This window comes from Homo sapiens, chromosome 21 (genome assembly GCF_000001405.40).
Source record: "Homo sapiens chromosome 21, GRCh38.p14 Primary Assembly".
NCBI classification, from domain to species: Eukaryota; Metazoa; Chordata; class Mammalia; order Primates; family Hominidae; genus Homo; species Homo sapiens.
This window is the reverse complement of record NC_000021.9, coordinates 26563814-26586480: the sequence shown is the minus strand read 5'-3', so window position 1 is coordinate 26586480 and position 22667 is coordinate 26563814. Positions and strand designations below refer to the sequence as shown.

Below are 22667 nucleotides of genomic sequence, written 5' to 3'. Positions count from 1 at the left end.
TATGTGGCTCACATATTTTTGTTAGACAGCAATTTTCTAGACTAGTGGTTCTCAAATTCTCATCAGAATTACCTAGAAGGCACGTTAAACCAATATAATGTTTTGATTGAGAATGAGAGAGTGTGAGCCAGGAAGTGATCTCTGACAAAAAGTGATAATTAAGGTGAAATCTAAAGGTGAAGATTTGTGGGGAGGATTGCTACAGAGAAATAAAACAGCATGTGGCAAGGAAACGATCAGTACTTCTGAAAGGCTCTCGTGGTCAGATTTAGGGGGAAAAGAACTCAGAAAGGCAGAAGGGAACCAAATCATGTGTGACTCTTTAGGCTTTGGTAAAAAGTTTGAATTTTATTCAAAGTCTAATGAGAATGTCTGAAAAAGTTTCTGTCAGTGGAGGATTGGAATACATTTTCACTTTTAAGAGATTACACAAGTAATGTCTGGAAAACTATTTGGATATGAGCAAGAATGGAAATTGAGAGATAAGTAAGAAGGCTATTCCAACAGTGAAGGGAGAGCTGAGTAAAATAGCTAAAACAACCTGGTGGAATACTAAGCAGCTATGGAAAATAGCAACTATGGAGGCTTCACAGATATGGGAAATGCTTAGGATACAATATTAACTTTAAAAAGAAGATAAAATTATACAAACATTATGTAAGCTTCAATTACGTGAAGTTATGTATGCCTATAAAGTCTAAATAAGAAAGTAACCCACCTCCGTCAAAAAAGAAAAGAAAAATAGTGGTAAGATGGATGATACTTTTCCTTTTGCAAAATTCAAATTAACATAGTGTTATTTTACAAACATATAGAGTGGGAGACTTGCTTTAATTAAACAAAGAATGTTTCCCATTTTTTTCTCTTTGTATGGTGAAATATTTGTATGTTCCAAAAAGACAAAATTGTCATAATATGAATGACATTTATATTTGTTTATTACTACAGAATAAATTTCCATGTTTTAAGCAAACAGGCATTCCATTAGTTTTTCCATATCATTCTCTGTACTGCAAGCAGAAATAAGATATCATCCACTAGAAGAATTTCCAGTTGTATTAAAATCAATGCATCAGACCTTCAATTGGAAAACAATGATAGTCATCAGATTTCAAATCTCCACATAGAACCTCTCACCAACAAAAGAAACATACATTTACCTAGTTATAATTCATCTATTTAAACGGTATTTGTTGTTACATGCTAATGTATATCCTGCTACCCTACGGAGTTATGTATCTAACAACACAGAAATCGAAATGTATAATATGAAACTGCAAAAGTATTATTATTGAGGGTAAGTTCCTCTACAATCTGAGAGTAGAAAAAGACTTTCTGCCCAAAACTTCACAACCCAGGCACCACAAAAAGAAAATTATTACATTTGACCTCTTTAAAATTAAATCCTTTGTATGGCATGAACACCATAAGTGAAAGAAATTGCAACATATACCACTTTAAAAAATCTAACATCCCTAATATACAAAGAAATTTTTAAAATTGAGGGAAAAACACCAAAATCCTAAAGAAAAATGGGCAAAGATTTGAATAAGTAACTCACAAAAAGATTATAACTAACAGTCCTGTGATGTTCAATTTCACTCATAAGAGAAATGCAAGAAAAATCAACTCTTCCATCAAATTGGCAATAAAGAAAAAATCCAAAAGCTCAGCAATATATTATGTAGGCAAAGTTGTAAGGAATACATTACTGCTGGGAATGCAAAATGTCACAGTCCCTCTAGAGCAGGATTTGGCAATATTTAGCAAAATGCGTTACCACTTCTGCAAATTTACCCTGAGATATAGCTCCAACAACAAGAAAATACATATTTTCAAGGTTATTAAGGTTATTCATTGCAGCATTATTTGCTATTGCAAATACCGATAAGTAAATATTCAAACATATGAGAAAACAATGGTACACATTTCGTGTAAACTATGGAGCAACAATAGATGAATGAGGACAATCTCTAGGAACTGATATGGAATGATCTCCTGGATATATCATTCAGTACAAACAAAAAACAAAAATAGTGCAAAAGAACATATACAGTATGCTATCTTCCGTGTAAGAAGGAAAGGGAAATAATGAAATCTGTACCAATAACTCTAATTTCAATCCATCACCACGAGGTTCTTCCTTGCTGTTACCCATTCCACAATCCTATAATACATCTAAAATAATTTCAGAATTGCTTTGCATATATCACCACAACAAGCTACTAAAAAATCTGCTTATCTTTATTAAAAAAGAAACACATTAGAGAGAAACTAGAAAATCATGACCACCGGTTATGTTAGAGGAACAGGGAGACTGGAATGGAGGCATACGGGAAGGATTAACACTTCCCTGAATATAGCCTTTGGTATTTATTTTTTTTTTTTACTTTTAGAAGCTCTCTAATGTTCTACATATTCAAAAAACAAGTCAACAATGATGGGAGAGAAAACAAAGCAAACAATAGCAGCACCAATAGCAGCAACCTAAGTAAAACCGAAAGCAAATGGAAATAAATGAACCCAAATGCATTTCAAGTGAATTAAAGTTGGCAGGGGTAGGGGAGCACTAACTCAAGTAAGTGATGAACACAGTAACTGACTATACGCCCTCAGTCTTGGGTGGAGTTGGGGGGAGAATTAATTGAAAGCACAATCTAAATTCTTTTTAGTGTTTTTTTTTTGTATTGTTATTTTATGTTGTGGTATGGACAGAGCAATTCAATTCTGAAACTGTTTTAGATGTATTACAGGAGTGAGTGAAGAAATAGCAAGTGTAAAAAGAGTTACAAATATGGAGTGAGAGAAGTCAAGGAACAGCCCTATGGTGATGATATATATATATACACATTATATATATATATACACAGCTACATATATACATATATATATCTGAGTGCCCGTGTGTGTGTGTGTGTGTGTAAAACATGCATATATTTCCTAGCTCTTATACTGAAAGAGACAAGATACAAAGGCACTCCAGCAGTAACATGCACTTTGATTTCTTTCTTTTCCCCATTCTTTTTTTTTATTATTATTATACTTTAAGTTCTAGGGTACTTTGATCTCTAAGACCATTATCCACTAAAAGGACCCAGAACTCCTCAGAGAAATGACTGATTTCAGGGCTGGAGCAGAGAAGATTCAAAATGAACCTGGGATATCTTTTATGTCAAAAAGTTAAGAAATTCCCAAAACACTTGTGGGGTTGTGTCACAAGGACACAATAGCTAGCTTGAAGATGCTCCACTGGCCCAAAATGGGACATTTTAAGATTAATGAATTATAAACTCTTGAAAAAGTAGGAATTCTTAAGTCCATACTCACAATCAATCAATCAATGAGGGAGAGGCATTCTTATTTTGAATGACGAGCAACAACTGGTGAATAGACAGAGGGAAAGCTGGAGTTCAAAACATGATAATTTGCATCCATAACAGTAAAGATTGCTTCAAGCAAAAATTACTAATGTGTGTTAAACCTAAAGGAGGAAAATTTGCTGAAGAGCAGGATATTTGCACGGCTTAATGTCTCCCTGTAGATTGCATATTGGTAGGAAAGGAAAAATTAGCAAATATAGGTTGGAAGTTTCCAACAGATTAACACACATACTGAAATATTTAGGGGGAAAGAGCTACAATGTGTGCAACTTACTCTTGAATGATTCAGAAAAACAGTAATATGTGCACAGATAGAGAAAAAGAACAAATGGCAAAAGAGATAGAACGCTAATAGGTGAAACGGAGTAAAAAATATGTGAGTGCTTTATACCACTCTTTCAAATTTTGTATTTGAGATTTCCAAATAAAAAGTAATAAACAAAATTTAAAAACAGGCTTATACAAATGCCATTGTTTCATTGTCCTCGGAGTGAATGCAAATGTCACAATTAATAGGATACATAGAAAAATATTCTAACAGTGAAGCTTCCATCTTGTCCTTTTTCTTTGAATTAGGGACCGATTTTGGAGTGTTTTTCCAGAAGCAAACAAACAAACAAAAAATGATGAAGCAGCTGATTAAAATAATTAAATAAAATAGGACACATCACGTACTTAGTAGTAATTGTAGTATATTTCCTGAAAAAATATGAAGTTCTTAAGCTAAAATCTTTAAGAGCATTTATGCCACCAAGATTGATAATGAAAACAAAATTATTTCCCTATAATAGACTTTTTCAACAAAATTAATATATCAAAGCACATGGTTTGAATATGAACTGTCTCCCAAATTTCCTTTGAAAAGCTAATATGGCCATATTTAAAAGAAAAAGTAGCCACAAACTCAAAGCCAACTTTTGATTTTAAGATCATCATTATAAATCCTTGTTAGGCTGAGGACATTGAAAGGATAATTTTAAGAACAATTTTGAGGCCTTAAGAACAAAACCTTGGTGAAAAGGCAAAGGTGAGAAACAGTGGTATGCTAAAGTGGACATGAGATCTAAATAAATAAATAAATAAATAAATAAATAAATAAATAAGTAAAACCTGGATTTAAAAGTTGCTTTTTCCTCTTAGCAGTAGCTAGAGACAAGGGATAATATTCCTAAAGTCAGAATTTTCTAAATCAGTGGTTCTCATTACGGTACTTGGCCAGCAGCATCTGCATCAACTGATAACTTATTAGAAATGCAAATTATTTGGTGCCAACTGAATCAGGGACAGGGTCTGGTGATCTCTATTTTAACACACCCTGCAGGTGATTCTGATGCACACTAAACTTTCAGACTGATACTTCCAACCATAGTGTAACAACGATGGTAATACAGCACATTTTAGGATTGTTAGAATGATTAAGTATATTACACATGTGAAGATGATTTTTCTAAACTGTATTTAAAAAAATCATTGTTAATGGTTGATTATTGTTGTGTGACATAGAGTTGTGGGAGAAAAAATGCTAAATCAATAGTTACTTTGTGATTTCATCAAAACCATCTTCAAAGAAACTTTAAAGAAGGTTATTTCAAATGAAAAAAGAGACACTACATACCAAAATCTCCTGGATGCAGCAAAAGCAGCACTAAGAGGAACATTTATAGCACCAAATACCTACCTCAAAAAGTTAGAGCGATCTCGAATTAACGATCTAACATCACACCTAGAGGAACTAGAAAAACAAGAACAAACCAACCCAAAGCTAGCAGAAGAAAAAGAAATAACCAAAATTAGATCAGGACTAAGTGAAATTGAGACCAAAAAATCCATACAAAGAATCAATGAAACCAAAAGTTGGTTTTTTGAAAGGATAAATAAGATCAATAGACCACTAGCTAAGTTAAAGAAAAAGAGAAGATCCAAATAAGCACAATCAGAAATGACAAAGGTAACACTACAACTGATCTCACAGAAATACAAAAGATTCTCGGAGACTATTATGAACAAAAATGGATAAACTTCTGGAAACACACAACCATCCAAGATTGAATTAGGAAGAAATCAAAACCCTGAGCACACCTATATCAAGTTCTGAAATTGAATCAGTAATAAAAAATTTGCCAAACAAACAAAAAACCCCTGGTGCATTAGTCTATTCTCACGCTGCTAATAAAGACATACCCAAGACTGGGTAACTTATAAAAGAAAGAGGTTTAATGGACTCACAGTTCCACATGGCTGGGGGGTGGGGTCTCACAATCACGGTGGAAGGCAAAGGAGAAGCAAAAGCATGTCTTATGTGGTAGCTGGCAAGAGAGCTTGTGCATGGGAACTCCCATTTCTAAAATCATCAGATCTCATGAGACTTATTCACTACCACGAGAATGGTATAAGGAAAACTGCCCCCGTGATTCAATTATCTCCATTAGGCCCCACCCGCCCTTGACACATCGGGATTATTACAATTCAAAGTGAGATTTGAGTGGGGAAACAGCCAAACCATATCACCTGGACCAGATGAATTCACAGCCAAATTCTACCAGATGTGCAAAGAAGAGCTGGTACCAATTGTACTGAAACAATTCAAAAAAATCCAGGAGGAGAGACTCCTCCCTAACTCATTCTATGAAGCCAACATCACCCTGATACTAAAACCAGGCAAAGACACAATGAAAAAAGAAAACTATAGATCACACTATATCTGATGAACATAGACACAAGAATCCACAACAAAATACTAGCAAACCACATGGAGCAGCATATCAAAAAGTTAATTCACCACAATCAAGTAGGCTTCATTCCTGGGAAGCAAGGATGGGTCTATGTATGCAAATCAATAAATATGATTCACTGCATAAACAGAATTAAAAACAAAAACCATATGATCAGCTCAACAGGGGTGAAAAAAACCTTCAATGAAATCCAACATCCCTTTGTGATAAAAACCCTCAACAAACTAGGGATCAAGGGAATATATCTCAAAGTAAGAGCCATCTATAACAAATCCATGGCCAATATCACTGAATTGGCAAAAGTTGGAAGCATACCCCTTGAGAACTGGAACAAGGCAAGGATGCCCATTCTCACCAATCTTATCTAACATAGTACTGGAAGTCCTTGCCAGAGCAATCAAGCAAGAGAAAGAAATAAAAGGCATCCAAAGAGAAGAAGAAGAAGTCAAATTATCTCTTTTCACTGATGATATGATTCTATACTTTAAAAAGCCTAAAGACTCCATCAAAAGGTTCCTAGAACTAACTGACAAATGACTTCAGTAAAGTTTCAGGATACAAAATCAAGGTATGAAAATCAGTAGCATTTCTGTACACCAATTAAGTTCAAGCTGAGAGCCAAATCAAGAACATAATCCAAATTACCATAGTGACAAAAGGAATAAAATACCTAGGAATACATCTAACCAAGGAGGTGAAGAATCTCTACAAGGAGAACTACAAAACATTGCTGAAAGAAATCATAGATGACACAAGCAAATGGGAACACATTCTATGTTCATGGATTGGAAGACTCAATACCGTTAAAATGACCATTCTGCTGAAAACAATCTGCAGATTCAATCCTATTTCTATCAAACTACCAATGTCATTTTTTGCAGAATTAGAAAGAAACTATTGTCAAATTCATTTGGAACCAAAAAAGAACCCAAACAACCAAAATAATTCTAAGCAAAAAGAACAAAGCCAGAGGCCTCACATTACCGAACTTCAAACTATACTATAAGGCTACCAGTAGCCAAAACAGCATGGTACTGGTACAAAGACAGACAGATAGACTAATGAAACAGAATAGAGAACCCAGAAATAAAGCTGCATAGCTACAGCCATCTGATCGTTGACAAAGTCAACACAAATAGGCAATGGGGAAATGACTCCCTATTCAATATATGGGGCTGGGATAACTGGCTAGCCATATGCAGAAGACATGAACAGACACTTCTCAAAAGATGACATACAAGCAGCAAACAAGCATATAAAAAATGCTCAACGTCACTAACCATCACAGGAACGCAAGTCAACACCATAATGAGATATCATCTTACACCAGTCAGAAGGGCTATTACTGAAAAATCAAAAAACAACAGATGCTGATGAGACTGCAGAGAAAAAGGAACACTTATACACTGTCGATGGTAATGAAATTAGTTCAGTCCCTGTGGAAAGCAATTTGGAGATTTCTCAAAGGAATTAAAAAATAAGCCAGGCACGGTGGCTCACGCCTGTAATCCCAGCACTTTGGGAGGCCGAGGTGGGCAGATCACCTGAGGTCAGCCTGGCCAACATGGTGAAACCTCATCTCTACTAAAAATACAAAAATTAGCCGGGTGTGGTGATGGGCATCTGTAGTCCCAGCTACTCTGGAGGCTGAGGCAGGAGAATCGCATGAACCTGGGAGGCAGAGGTTGCAGTGAGCCGAGATTGTGCCACTGCACTCCAGCCTGGGCAACAAGAGCAAGACTCCATCTCAAAAGAAAAAAAAAAAAGGACTTAAAACATAACTACCATTAACCCAGCAATCCCATTGCTGGGAATATATCCAAGCCAGAAGAAAATAAACCATTTTACCAAAAGACACATGCATCCATATGTTCATTGCAGCATTATTCACCATAGCAAAGACATGAAATAAACGTAGGTGCCCTTCAGTGGAGGATTGGAAAAAGAAAATGTGGAACTTATACACCACGGAATACTACACAGCCATAAAAAATTAAAAAAACAACAAAATCATGTCCTTTGCAGCAACATGGATGTCTCTGGAGGCCATAACTTAAGGTGAATTAATGCAGGAATAGAAAACCAAACAGCACATAGTCTCACTTATAAGTGGGAGCTAAATATTGGGTGCTCATGAACATAAAGCCGGCAACAATGGACTCTGGGGACTTATAGAAGGCGGAAGGAAGGGATGAAGAATATGGGTGCTATGTTCACTACAATCTGGGCGATGGGATCTCCCATATCCCAAACCTCAGCACCATACAATATACCCATTTAACAAACCTGCAGATGTACCCACTGAATCTAAAATAAAAGTTGAAATCATTTTTTAAAAAGAAAGTTATTTCCTCAAACCATCCCACACTTGATGCTAGGTCTTGCACAGAGGAGGTGCCTCAGTAAAGCATTTTTGATGCTAATAAAAACATTGCTGTTGAGAAAGGTCATAGGAACGTATTATCTTCTGTTTTTTACATAGTCAAAACCAAGCAAAGCTATTTTGAAAAACAGTTTACATTTGATGGGTGCAGGCAGAAGCTCTGCTCTGGAGACACACTCTCATGGCAGTTAGACGTGTGACCTTGGGCAGAGTTACTTAACCACTCTCAGTCTCAATACCTGTATTCATCCAAATAGAGGTGATAATAATAGTATCTACCTCACTGAGATTTTGAGAGTATTCATGAATAAACTTAAAGAACTTAGAAATGGACTTGGTACATAATAAACATTTGATATTCCTTCCACACCTTAAATGCGACACTTAAATCATCTCCCCTTTTCTTCATGGTTTTTCTTCTTGTTTTCTTCTGGGGTTTTTGCATGTTTCTGTATAAGTACTTTTTTTTCCTTGGCATTCACACGTCGTCAAATGAAGATGAAGAACAGATACAAGTAGAGCCCTTGCGTGTACATAAAATGTTTTTGTTGTATTTATTAAAAGGTAATTAATTGTAAGACATTATACTAATCCGTTTGATTCTATGGTGAAATAAATTATTGGAAGAGAGAAATGTGGGTCAGGGAACTCAAAAGGGGATTATCATCAAACTTGAACACACTCTATCACATCATGGCAAAATCTGCTATGTGGCCTCTTGCCATGGGATCTAGCCTGCCTCTAACTGACTTGGTAATTTGGCCTTAGTCTTCTTACGTAAGAAACTGGGAAACTGACCTAGACAATCTGTGGAGTCCTGTCCTATTCTAACTTTTTGGTCCTAAATAAAACTATAAGTTAAAACTACTTACTTGTCATATTTCACCTATAGCTTTTTAATCATCTTCAAGCATTTAAAATTTCAGCATATACCTCATTCAGAGGTACTTTTTTTTTTAAAAAAAAAGAGATACCCAGGAAGAAAGTGGGGAAAAAGAAAGTTCAATAAAAGATGAAAACATTAGCTGCATTTTTCCACTGTTGAGATCATTTTGTATTCCATTTCTTATTTAACTATATATCTTAAAGATCTTTTCAACAATTTTAAACATTAGATATGAGTTCATAATGTGGATATACCCTAATTTACTTAACTGTTTTACCTCTGTTGTACATGTAAACTATTTTTTAAAATTGTAATAAACATTGTTCTAGATGTCATAGTGGATCAGAAATATTAATAAAATCTGATTTAGAAGAGGATTCTTGGATTGCATTCTTTATCTTTCAGTGGGTTAAAAATAGTTTCACCCTCTTCAATTCCAGGGTTGCAAATGAGAAATCTGATGCCTGTCAGATTCTCTTTTTCAAGGAAACATAAAAATTATATATGAAAATGTATATGATTTTAAATTTATACTTGTTGAAACTGGTCTCTAAGATATGTACATATTTGTGCTTCTTTTCAAAAAAAATTTCTCGGAACTAACTCACCATTTTAAATATGAAAATTCAAATTTTATTACAGCTCAGAATTTTAAAACATTATTTCTTTGACGTTTGCTTTTTCACTTTGTGTTTCTCTGGAAACTATTAGCCTGCACATTATTCCCATTCTTTGGGTTTTTATATTTTTATTCGTGGTTTCTATTTCTTTGTGTTTTTTTTCCTCTGTTATATGAAAAATACTCCTTATTTGATCTAACAATTTTTTTTTTCTTTTTTTGAGACAGAGTCTCACTCTGGAGTGCAGTGGCATGATCTTACCTCACTGTAACCTCTACCTCCTGATTCTCCTGCCTCAGCTACCCGAATAGCTGAGAGCTGAGACTACTGGTGCACACCACCACGCCCAGTTAATTTTTTGTATTTTTAGTACAGATGAAGTTTCACCATGTTGGCTAGGCTGCTCTTGAACTCTTAGCCTCAAGTGATACCCACCTCGGCCTCCCAAAGTGCTGGGATTACAGGCGTGATCCACCGCGCCTGGCCTGATCTAACAATCTAAGTTTTTTTTTTTTAATGTGACTATTTTATAATTTTTTTCTGTAAATTTTAAAACCTCAAACCACATTTATTTTAATTTCCAGGAACTCTTTTAGTTCCTCTGATGTTGTATTCTTAAGGTTTCTCATTCCATACATATTTGTATATACATCTTTTTTTCCTTCAAATCCTTTCTTTTAACTACCACAATTTCTTAAATGGCTTGCCATCTTTCTTTGCCTTTCCATGTCAATTGAGTTTGGTTTCCTGAGCATCAGCATACTTCAAGGTAGCAGCTCTGGAAGGTACACTTGCAGGCAAGCTTGCTCGACCAATCTGTTGAACTGTATGAGAAGTCTTTCTGTTCTCAAAAGTAAGCTGAAAGAGACTATCCTGACCAACACTGCAACTTCCTATGGGCCTCAGTGGCAACAGCCAGCCTCTTCCTGATCTGTGTCAAAAAGTGGGCGGGAGAAGCCCCTTCTTCTATCACAGCTACCAGCCCATCAAGGATCTGTATTCAGTCTCATCTGCAAAGACAATCATTTTTCTATTCCAAGCAGGCTGGATACCATTCTTCAGCTCTGCAAACACTGACTTCCATCTGTATCTTCTTCCTTCAAGACTCAAAGGGCTTGTATGCCTGGGATTTTCTCTAGGTTCCAACCATTGTCCCAGTTATTTAGAAATTGTGCTTCCCAGTGGAATGTTTTGATCAGGCTACAAGAATGACAGGACCTAGTGAACAAGTTCTTGAACACCCTGGATTAAATGTTTGAATTTTAACCTAAGGGCAACAGGATGCTACTGAGTGAGTGAACATGATGAAATCTGTAGTTTAAGAAGAAATATTCCAGCTTCAGTCTGGCAAACATCTCTGAAGGCAGGGAGGCTGAATATAATCAAGACTATAAAAGTCTAGATTAGGACAGAAATAGATGATAATTTAAAATGCGTTTGGGTGGTGTTCAGGTGGACAGATTAGGTGAACTTGGTGATAGATTGGCCAGCGAGGATGAGAAAAAAGGTGGAACTGATCAGCCTTCTTTAGAACATGGTGGATGGTTGGGCCTTCACCAACGTGTAAAACACAGTAAAGAGCTTAGCTTATGTTTATTTTGGGGGTGATGTTTCCTCCCACTCTCGTATTCCCTTGCAGCACTGCATTTACAGGAAAAAATTCCTGGAAGAGAACTGACTAAATTAAGTACATGTGTATTTGAATTTTCGTACATATAACCACACCGTTTCCCTTAAGAGTTCATTTGGTTTTGTATTTGGTTGGTTTGATACATGAAAAGTGATGTCTCACTGTCAATTTTATTTCTATATTTATATTTATTTGTTTTGTATGAAGTGTCTATTAATATCCTTCCTCAGTTATCTCTTGGTTGTTTTTCCTATTGATTTTTTTAAGCTCAGTATAATAATGAGATTAGGACTTTGCATTGCAAATATTTTTGCCAGTTAAATGTCTGCCAACTGGAAGTATTAATTCTTATTTAGTCAAGTTGGTCAATATTTTGTTTTATGGTTTCTGAGTTTTTTATAATGCTTAGAAAAGGCTTCCCTATTCCACAATTATTTGAATGTTATCCTCTTATTTTTTAATCTAATATTTTCATAGTTGTATCTTAAATATGTAATTCATATAGAACTGATTTTGATGTAAAAAGATAAGGCTCCACAGATGGCTATTTACGGCCTCAACACTTTTCACTGAGTAACTCATCATTTCCCCTACTACTTTACATTGATATTTCTTTAAACCATAAATTAAATTGCTGTACATACTCATGTCTACTTTTGGGTTACCTTTTCTCTTTCACTAAGCCTATCTATTCCAATGTTAATCTAAACTGTTTTAATTATTGTGATATTATATGTAATATCCCATTCATTATTCCCATTCATTACTCTTGTTTTAAATAGATATTCTTACATATTTATTTTCCATATAAACTTTAGAATCAGATTGGTTTGAAAAAAATCATGTTATTTTAAAAATTGGGATCAATTTTATTTCCAAATGTATATAATAATTTGGGGAATCTTGTTGTCTTTATCCTACTAAATTTTCTTAGTGAAAAAAGTATCTCTTTACTTATTCGTATCATTTTTTTTCCTTCATGCATAACATTGAGAACTTTCTGATTTTTGTTTGCAGGAAAGAAAACTATTGGTTTGCTAAACAAGAGCTTTATAGTTGATTAACTTTGATTTTCCATGTATACACGTATTTCATTTGCTAATGACAATTTAGCTTTCATTTTTCATAAATCTTTTTCTTTCTCTTGTTTAATTGCATAGGCCAGTAACTCCAAAACGTCAAAATCATAACGACAGTGTGCACTGTTGTGTTTTTTTTTTCTGAATTTACAGGAAAAAATAATAAACATTTTATCAGCTTTCAGCAGAGATGCCATACACTTTCTGTACTTCCCAATCCTGAGTTTTCTTCACTGTCACTCTTTGTCGAATACCTTCAACCCTGAAAATTCCTTCCCTTTGTTTAAAGATAAAAAGCAAAGTTGTTCATCCATTGCTTAGAAAGGAAAAATTGTAGTGGAGGCAAGGTTAAAAAGGAGCAGGCTGAACTCCATAGCAATCGCCAAAGCAAGGGGTTAGGAAAAGTTTCTTGGTCCCCTAGTCACTCTTTAGAAGGAAGAACCCGGGCTTGGGGAGGAGTCGGGGCCACCCCCGCCCCCTGCCCGCAGTCGTTGCCACCCGCGGAGATGAAATGTGAGCCTGGGTGGCCAAGGACGCCGGAGTGGCCGCCTTCCCCGCGCCTGAGCGCAGTGGGGCGAGACAAAGAGACCTGGGCCCCCAGCGCAGCCCGTCTCGGGCCACGGGCGCCCCAGCTCCGCGGAGTCCCGCAGTCGCTGGCCCGGGACGCGCCCGGCCCGGGCTCCCTTGGAAGGCTCCCTAGGCAATGGCCGGGTCTCTGCTCCACCCGGCTCTCAGGAGCGCTGCTCTCTCCATCTGATCGCCCTCCATCCTCCCCATTCCCTCCGGTTCCGGGCTCTCCCTTCGCTCCAAGCCTCAGGCCACCGGCTTGGATGGACGCTCCGAGGCTACCCGTGCGTCCAGGGGTCTTGCTTCCGAAGTTGGTCCTGCTCTTTGTCTACGCAGGTCAGTGACGGAGGGCGGCGGAGAGGGTCAGAGGCTCGGGGCTGCCCTTGGGTCACGGTCCGGGCTAACGTGGGTTGAGCTGGACGGACCGGGACCTTTGCAGAAGGACCTTTGCAGACGCTTCTGCCTTTTCCGCGAGGCGACGGCAGAAACCCGCGCACTTCCAGCCGCACGCGGTTTTGTTTTGTTCCTTTTCCTTTAACTTTTACCTTTTGCATTTCTTTTCTTTCCCTTTCCACCTTGGAAATAGCAGTCTCGTGTTTAGGGGATTTGACTCTCTGGATAGAGTAAACTATATCCAAATAAACTTATCTGGATAGGCTAGGCAGTGGCCTCTCCATCTTCTGCTTTCTAAATAGTCCTGGTTTTCCCTCTTGTGAATAAAAAAAACTTAGAGCTTTGTTTTCGTTCTTTGGGAGATTCACAAGTGTGGTAGACTGAGCTATTGGACTGAAGTCAAACACAAGGTTTTTGAGAAGCATGAATTCACCCAGGGTCTAATCTGTACAGGTTCGTTGATTTAGATAGACACTTGTTTATAAGAGAAGGGCATCTGGTTTCCCTTCTAATTATTCGTAGTAAGAACTGCTAATAATTAACGAAGCAAAGTGGGTTTTCTTGTTTGTGATTAATATGGAGCCCCAAATGGCCTTTCATTGGTTATTCAGGTATAAAGTGTCTTACACACGTGGTCTTTGCATCAGTTCATATTCACAAAACAATGCAAGCTAAAAGCAAAGTTCTTTGTAAAATGTTTTTGTGTCTCTAACGTCCTATGACAAAAATCGCAGGCTCACCCCTGAGCCTCCAATACGAAATGTATATATAGCACTGAAATTTACCTTTGATACTCAAAAAGATATTGCAACTGAAATGATGTTCTTCAGTGTTGCACCTGAGTATTAAAAGAATTGAATTTCTCATTCAACCTTGCTAGAAAAGAGTCACCATAACTTCTGTAGACATTTTTAGCCTGTTTATTGAAATGCAAATTAGTGGCTGTCTAGGAGTTACCATTTTAAAGATGTTTTATGGCAGGAAAAATGCTGACCTTCTAATATGAAAATTCATAAAAGTAGGATAAGTTCTTCGTATTTAATGAAGAGAATTACATTTAATCTGTTTACAACATTTATTTCTTTTATTAAATTTGTATAAGGTTTTCAGAATTTGAGGGATTAACAGAGTCAACTGCATTAATATTCATTTTCTATTGAAAAAATCTCTTTATTAGTTCTTTCGAAGTAATTATGCTTTTCACTTCCTCTGCTCGACAATATTTAATACTTTCACTCACACTTATTCAACCACTCCATTGAACCACAATTTTGTTTGTTTGTTTGTTTGTTTATTATATTCCCTGTGGTAAACTGAAAGCTTCTGCTTTACACATCTGCCCCCTCCTCCTGTTTCCCCAGTGCTAGGTGCCCAGCTCCTCAGGGCTCAGGAAATCAGCGAAGCTGGCCAGCAACAAGGGTGGTTAGTTTAGAAAGTTTTCAGTCCATTCATTTCTCTTCTTTGGAATCCCTCTATCATAAGCTACAAAGTAGTTGTAAGCCAGTGCTAAGTTGACTTACTATCTTTGCTAAGAAGTGTTTAGCTAATAAGCTCTTTGGTGTCAATTCCTGGACTTGTTATTCAGAGGCCTTTTTATGCTTTTCATATTCATTCAACTATTACTTACTGAGTGAGGTATGTTGAGCCGTAAGAGGTCATGTTCTTATCAGTCTTCTCTGGGAACTACGGTATGATCATAAGTTACTTTAAGGTATAAAAGGTTGTGTCATAGGAGAGGTAAAATCACGTGCTATAGATGTTCAAAGAAGAAAGTCTTACTGCTGGCTTAAAAGAGTAAGCTTCATGAGGACAATGTCTATTTTGTTCAGCAAAAAGATCAATCAGTATTTGCTCAGGAAAACTGAATTGAAGAAGACTTGAAGGAACTAGACCTTTGAAAAATATAGACGCCCTGAACCCAACGAGACGGAGTGGGATATAGTAGGATATCGTGTGATCAAAGTCAAAAATCAAGATCTGTACATGCAACAAAGGATATTTCAGTTTGGTTGGAACTAAGAGGTATGGCTAGAAGTAAGGGTTGAGGTTAGATGCTGGAACACCACAGAAGTCAAAATAGTTCATACTATTAAATGAATTGCCAGCTTTGTGGGACAAAAATCTAAGTAGATGCACTGCTCATAATCTAAATTATTTTCCCCAAAGCAAATGCATTAGATTCACATTTCATTTGGCTAAACAAATAAGAGCAAGGTTTCTATACCTGAAGCATCATGTTGTACTATAGAGTTACTTTTGGAAGGAGACCCAGTGAAGTGTTGATATTATTGTCTGACTCCCACTGCAGGCTACAAAGACAGGATTCGGTCAAGGTTTTACCTTCCGGGCCTCAGCCAGTAACTTCTGTCTCCTCCCTTTCCTTCCTCTCTTATCTTAGCTATAGCTTGCAAGGGCCATTTCTAAGCAAGTGCTTCAAGCCAGATACTGCTTTTCCTGTTCTGCGCATTCCTTAAGGTGGGAGGCAGGGTGAGTTGGGAGTCAGGGGTGAGTTGGGGAACCTTCTTCCAGACCACACCTTTCAGCAAAAAGTCATTGAAGAAAGTTTAAGTTGGCTGATTTTCAGGGATACTAACTTGGACATTAGAAGTAATATTATTTATCTTCTGAAGACAAATTGGAATGATCTGTTCTTTCTCCAGTGAGAAAAAGCTCCTGTATGGCGCAAACACTGATCTTTGTCAAATTATTCTCAAATATCCCAGAGAAAGCAACCAACATAAAAAAGGCTTTGAAGTGTGGTTGAAATTTCATTTTGGAGAGGTTGTGATTGTAAATGTATTTGCCATTCTGTTAAATCTCCCCTTTTGGGTAGTTTAATTCTGGGAAGTAGACAAGAGCACTGGAAAATGCCATAAAAACAATGACCAGTGTGTAACATGATCCAGATGTTTGCTGCAGGTATAATCCAGCTTCTTGGCTACAACATTTTGGGCTTGGTTTCCTGTAACGTTGGCTCAAAATATTTTGATAACACCATGTCTTTATAAAAGTAGTCACCGGAATGCAACGGTAGCAATTGAATCTTCGATATTGATGGCGAGTTTAATAAGATGTCACTGTCCTGGACATGGTTCAAAAGGCACCCATGACGTTACTTACACATTGGTTGTCCTACTCTGACGGAATAGTGGGGACATTAGCTCTCTCACAATCAGAATGGCTTTTATTTATTTATTTTTTGATAATTTCAACTTCTTTAATTTTAGACTCAGGGAGTACATGTGCAGATTTGTTACCTGGGTATATTTTGTGATGCTGAGGTTTGAGGTACAATGGATCCCGTCACCCAGGTATTGAATACAGTACCCAATAGTTAGTTTTTCAACCCTCCCCACTCCCTTTCCTCCCTGCTCTAGAAGTCCCCAGCATCTGTTGTTGCCATCTTTATGTCCGTGAGTACCCAGTGTTTAGCTCCCACTTGTAAGTGAGAACATGCGGTATTTGGTTTTCTGTTCCTGAATTAATTTGCATAGGATGATGGCCTCCAGTTTCATCCATGTTGCTGCAAAGGACATGATTTTATTCTTTTTTTTTTCTGGCTGCATAGTATTCCACGGTGTGTATGTACCACATTTTCTTTACTGAGTCCACTATTAATGAACACTTGGGATGAATCAGTCTCTTTACTATTTTGAATAGTGCTGTGACGAATGTACAACTGCATTTGTCTTTTTGATAGAATGATTTATTTCCCTTTAGATAGATACCCCAGCAATGGGATCACTGAGGCAAATGGTAGTTTTGATTTAAGTTCTTTGAGAAATCTCCCAACTGCTTTCCACAGTGGTTGAACTAATTTACATTTCCAATAGCAGTGTATAAGTATTCCCTTTTCTCCACAGGCTCACCAGCATCTGTTGCTTTTTTGACTTTTCAATAATAGCCCTCTGTTTTGATTTGCATTTCTCTGATGATTGGTGACTTGTTGAACATTTTTTTGTTGTGTTTGTTGGCTGCTTGTATGTCTTCTTTTGAGAAGTGTCTGGTTGATGTCCTTTGCCCATTTTTTAATGAGATTATTTGGTTTTTGTTTGTTCAATTATTTAACCTCCTTATAGATTCTGGATATTAGGCTTTTGTCAGATGCATAGCTTACACATATTTTCTCCCATTCTGTAGATTGTTTACTCTGTTGATAGTTTATTTTGCTGTGCAGAAGCTCTTTAGTTTAATTAAATCCCGCTTGTCAATTGCTTTTGTTGCAATTGCTATTGAGGACTTAGTTATAAATTCCTTCCCAAGGCTGATGTCAGGAACGGTGCTTCCTAGCTTTTCTTCTAGGAGTCTTATAGTTTGAGGTCTTTCATTTAAATCTTTAATCCATTTTCAGTTAATTTTTGTATGTGGTAAAAGATAGGAGTCCAGTTTCATTCTTCTGTGTATGGCCAACTGGTTATCCAACACCATTTATTGAGTAGGGAGTCCTTTCCCCATTGCTTATTTTTGCTGACTTTGTCAAAGATCAGATGGCTGTAGGCGTACATTGAATGGCTTTTAAGAACATGAAGCAAAACATCCCCACTAAGCCCTTGGGATAACTGACCAGTCTAAATATTTGAATAAATTAAACAGCACTAAAAATGAGAGCTATGGAAATTCACCAAGAAAACTGTAAAATAAATAGCCTTTAAAAGTCTGTTGTACTCTGCAAAAAGCATCTATTGTCAATATATTGGCTTCTCCCTTGTGTCTAAATCGTTAGATTTTGTTTCTGTTTTCAAATTTTAAAAGTGGACTTAAGTACTTACTGAATCTCACAAAGGTAATTATTTTTCGCTTTCATTCCTTCATACCACAATCCAGAGGTAAGCCTCAAGGGTCATGTTTGACAATCTGTAATGTAAAAATAAAATTGAGGAGAAGAAAATACGAACTTTTCCATTTGTTCCACAAAAGCCACGCATAATTGTTAATGGTGACTGAACTTTGCTGCCTTTTAATCACATCTCTTTGTAAAGTATCATCTTAGCAGGGAAGTGATTTAAAAGCAATGTAAAATTTCCTTTCTGGATAAATCAGTTACATGGACGTGCAGACATAAATATAATATTTTGTATTTTTAATGTTATAGCTTTGATAGGGAAACAAAAGTTTTATATAATTTATATAATAATTAATATTACCTTCAGGAATTGAGCTGGAAATGGATTATTTTGTGACTCTTAAATGTACAACATAAATTATCAGACTGTACTTAATGTTTTCCTAATCATGTATCTGAAACTTATATATCCATCATAACTTATACGACTAAGTCAGTGACAACCTTTGCTTGTTAAACATAAATCATTTAGGTGGAATAAAGAATACTTAAAAGCTAGAGTAATTTTTATCCAACATTTTTAGTATAATTTTTCTTGCAGCAAAATATATGGAAAAAATAGTAATTTCTGATCCTTTATTCAGAAAATAACTCTTCCCCCTTCACATAGTACTGTTTTATATCTTACTGATTCCTCAATCTGACATTAAGTAAACTCTTCATTATTTACAAAATAATTGTCTCTGGGGATTTCTTCCTATAACCAATCATCTTTTCATCCAGATGAATTTACAGGATGCAGACTCATTGTGTTACCACACATATGCAAACTGTAATTATACAGGTAAAAAAAAGTCACCAAATGAAAAGCATACAATGCACTATCATGGAAAAATATACATCATTTTGAAATTATTCCTTTTTGGTATTATATATGCCACTAAACCTTCTATTGATTGAGCTCAGTTGGGAATACAAGACCCTAAAGTAAGAAGACTCTTTTTTTTTTTTTTTTTTTTGAGACAGAGCCTCACTGTGTCGCCCAGGCTGGAGTGCAGTGGCATGATCTCGGCTCATTGCAACCTCCATCTCCTGGGTTCAAGTAATTCTCCTGCCTCAGCCTCCTGAGTAGCTGAGATTACAGGTGTGCACCACGACACCCAGCTACTTTTTGTATTTTTAGTAGACACGGGATTTTATCATGTTGGCCAGGCTGGTCTCAGACTCCTGACCTCAAGTGATCACCCGCCTCAGCCTCCCAAAGTGCTGGGATTACATGCGTGAGCCATTTTGCCTGGCCAAGAAGGCTTTATCATTTAAAAATTATTATAAAAACTCTATGGACAAATCCAGCGACTGAGTAGTTTAATTGTTCTTTCATTCCTTCCTTCATTATCTCATTCCACTAACCCTGACTGGTAATTATGGTGCTTGGTGTAGAAGATTCAAGAGTTGTCTTTGTCTTTACAGCTTAGAGTCTAATGGGGAAGAGAGGCTAATTTAGATCCTTACAAATGTTTTTGAATTCTGAGGACGAAAATGAAGATTTAAAACCACTAAAGGGTGGTCATTGGCTGATTAAGTTGTGAAATAGAATAATTTTTCTTGAAACTGTGATTTTACAACTATAACTGCTCACAAGTGGTTTTTGTTTTGTAGATGATTGCCTTGCTCAGTGTGGCAAAGATTGCAAATCTTACTGCTGTGATGGAACCACGCCCTACTGTTGCTCCTACTACGCTTATATTGGGAATATCCTCTCGTGAGTATTCGTCAGATTTGGCAATACTGATGCTCTTCCTCTTGTCCAGTTGTCCAGTTATGTCTTTTAAAAGTACTAAGTGATAGTTGTGGGCAAGAGATTTCAAGATTGGTTATTGACATGAAATCTTTACTGGAGATATTAACACATCGCTATCTAATGGACTATATTGTTTGACAAAATATGCAAAATAATATACAAAATAAATTGCCTTCATTATAAAGGAACTAAAAAGAGTTATTCTTTTATTGTTTTACTTTGTGTACTATAATAATGTTTTAAGTAGACATCATTTTATTGATAATTTTATAACATCATCAGTGATATGGTTTTGTCTGTTTTGTGCAAGTTAAGATTTGTTATTTAATTATAGCCAGTTTATTTTGTCATCATGTATTAATTTAATACATCCAGTAGATGTCAGGAAAAAGAGAGGTTATGAATAAAAAACAGTTGAGACATGAAATGTCAGTTCTCACATGATACACATACAGCAACTTCAGGAAACAAGTTTAGAGCCTAAGACAAGCTAGGTATGAGTAATGCAAAGTGATAAACAACAAGGCACAAAAACACAAATGAAATATGTACATGTAGACTCTGTGAAGCATTTCCTTGTAACAAATTAGAAATTTATTTTAGAGCCGATTCTGGACAAAGGGAAATATGGAAGCTGGACCTGCCTCCAGGGCTGTACGGCTGGAAAAGTGTGCACTTGTCAATTCCTCAAGAGAGGAACCCACAACTGAGAAACGAGGGTTGAGAATTGGGAACATAAGAATTTCTTGAGTCAAAATCCCCATGGCTTTCAGAGAGCAGCAACGGTTGTGCCTCTGTCTTCTGTTCTTGTTTTTCAAGTCAGTATCATGATGATTTGGGAAATGTTCTGTTTAATTCATGCCCTACAAAGGCTCAAGTGGAAACGGGAAACATTAGGCGCTAAGTCATATGTGCCTGGCTGTTTTAGGGAAGTGTCCGTTGAGACGGCTTGTTACACATCCTCCATTTCCCGAGAATAGAAAACCTGGCACCACATAAACTTTCTGGAATCAGTGTTGAGGCTCCTATTAGAGATCATGACTCTGAGAATACAAAATAAAAAATCATACTTTGGGATACTCTTGAACACTATAATAGATGTGAAAGAAATGTCAAGCTATAATTAAAAACCATGTATAGAATTTAAGCCTTCCTTGAAATGCAAATAAGCTCCAATAAAATGTTTGAATTTTTCTTCATGGATGGTTTGGTAGAAAAGAAATTAAGCCCACTTTTTACATTAGAAAACTGTCAGGATGATTTTTTACAGTAACTTATCAGCTCAAATTTAAATATATAATGATGTTTACAGTGGCATATTACTTCGCAGTATTTAAAGTAACAAAATATATTATTAATAAATTTAAATTTTTTTTTTCTCAAACTGTCTCCACATACCAGATGCTGCTGTCCCAGGTAGAGGTGCGAGTATAACTTGGAGAATGTGAAGTCAAACTGATTCTGTGATTCTTTGGTCATCTGGCTCCTAGCTTAGCTCTTGATTCACTAACTATATCATGGAGTGTGCTGTGTGCCCTCTTTCTCACTCCATAGCTACCTCCACCCTGGTAAATACATATAACTCATAACTACTTATTAATCAGAATATTTTTATATATTTGAATTTATAGATGTACTTGATATGATTTACATTTGCAGTGAAGTTCACATTTTTATGGTACATGTTCTATATCTTTAATCTCACCGCTGGTTAAGTGAAGAATTGGTTGAGCTGATACATGTATCTAGGTTATTAGGACCAGGTACTTGCTATGTTTGGGGGAAAAAATCGTGTTTCAGAAGGGAAAATAAACACAGATGGCATCATATTTCAGGCAGTTATAACTGAACTTTCTGTTCAAAATAGAAACCTCTGAGTAAATATCATGCTAAACAATTCTTAGCAAAAAGAAAGGTGGCAGTGGTGGGGGGATACTTTAAAGCGTTTTCCCACTTGATAAAAGAGAATACATTTTCAGGATTTCCAGTTATTGTTTAACATTTGAAAAGAATTCTTAACTCCACCCAAAGTGTTTTTTTTTTTTAATGGGTGGTCGGCGATGCAGGAGGTAGGAAAAAAATTAATTCCAGAATGCTTACAAGGGTTCCTTCATACACAGGTTGTCACATATTTCTGTTTTGAAATTCATAAATGATGTTTCCTCTTTTTCAAGCATCCGGGCACATTCTTAGTGAAATCATTTTAACTGTTGTAACAGAAAGGTAAACCCTTGTGGTTATTAGAAAAGTAATAAGGAACAAAGCAGTAACACAATGAAATATTAGGTAACTTAAATGAATATTTTTATAATTTGGTTTATGTTTTTGTTTGTTTTTAAAATAAAAATGTTTGCTCAGTTTAAAATGAGCTAAAAAGAGAGCAAAATATAATTTGGGCATTTTAGAGTGTTTG

At 36.3% G+C, this 22667-nt stretch overlaps 1 protein-coding gene and 1 long non-coding RNA gene across 9 annotated transcripts in view; one reads left to right on the top strand and one right to left on the bottom strand.

Annotated features, from left to right (window-relative positions):
* Positions 1-13194: 13194 nt before the first annotated feature.
* The window catches only part of CYYR1 (cysteine and tyrosine rich 1), a 107071-nt gene continuing 97598 nt past the window's right edge, over positions 13195-22667 (top strand). For 4 of the 8 annotated variants that reach the window (NR_135472.2, XR_007067783.1, XR_001754808.2 and 1 more), the window contains exons 1-3: positions 13195-13613; positions 20113-20215; positions 21656-21822. Coding sequence is in view for 4 of the 8 variants with exons in the window: in XM_011529450.3 (XP_011527752.1) it covers positions 13217-13613; positions 20113-20215 (500 nt within the window). In the remaining 4 variants the exon portion in view is untranslated. The remainder of the gene's footprint in view (positions 13614-20112; positions 20216-21655; positions 21823-22667) is intronic. The other 4 variants (NM_052954.5, NM_001320768.2, XM_011529450.3 and 1 more) reach the window with 1 other exon arrangement.
* The window catches only part of CYYR1-AS1 (CYYR1 antisense RNA 1), a 175618-nt gene continuing 170179 nt past the window's right edge, over positions 17229-22667 (bottom strand). Inside the window, exon 4 of the long non-coding RNA NR_135515.1 lies at positions 17229-18524. This is a non-coding gene — a long non-coding RNA (CYYR1 antisense RNA 1). The remainder of the gene's footprint in view (positions 18525-22667) is intronic.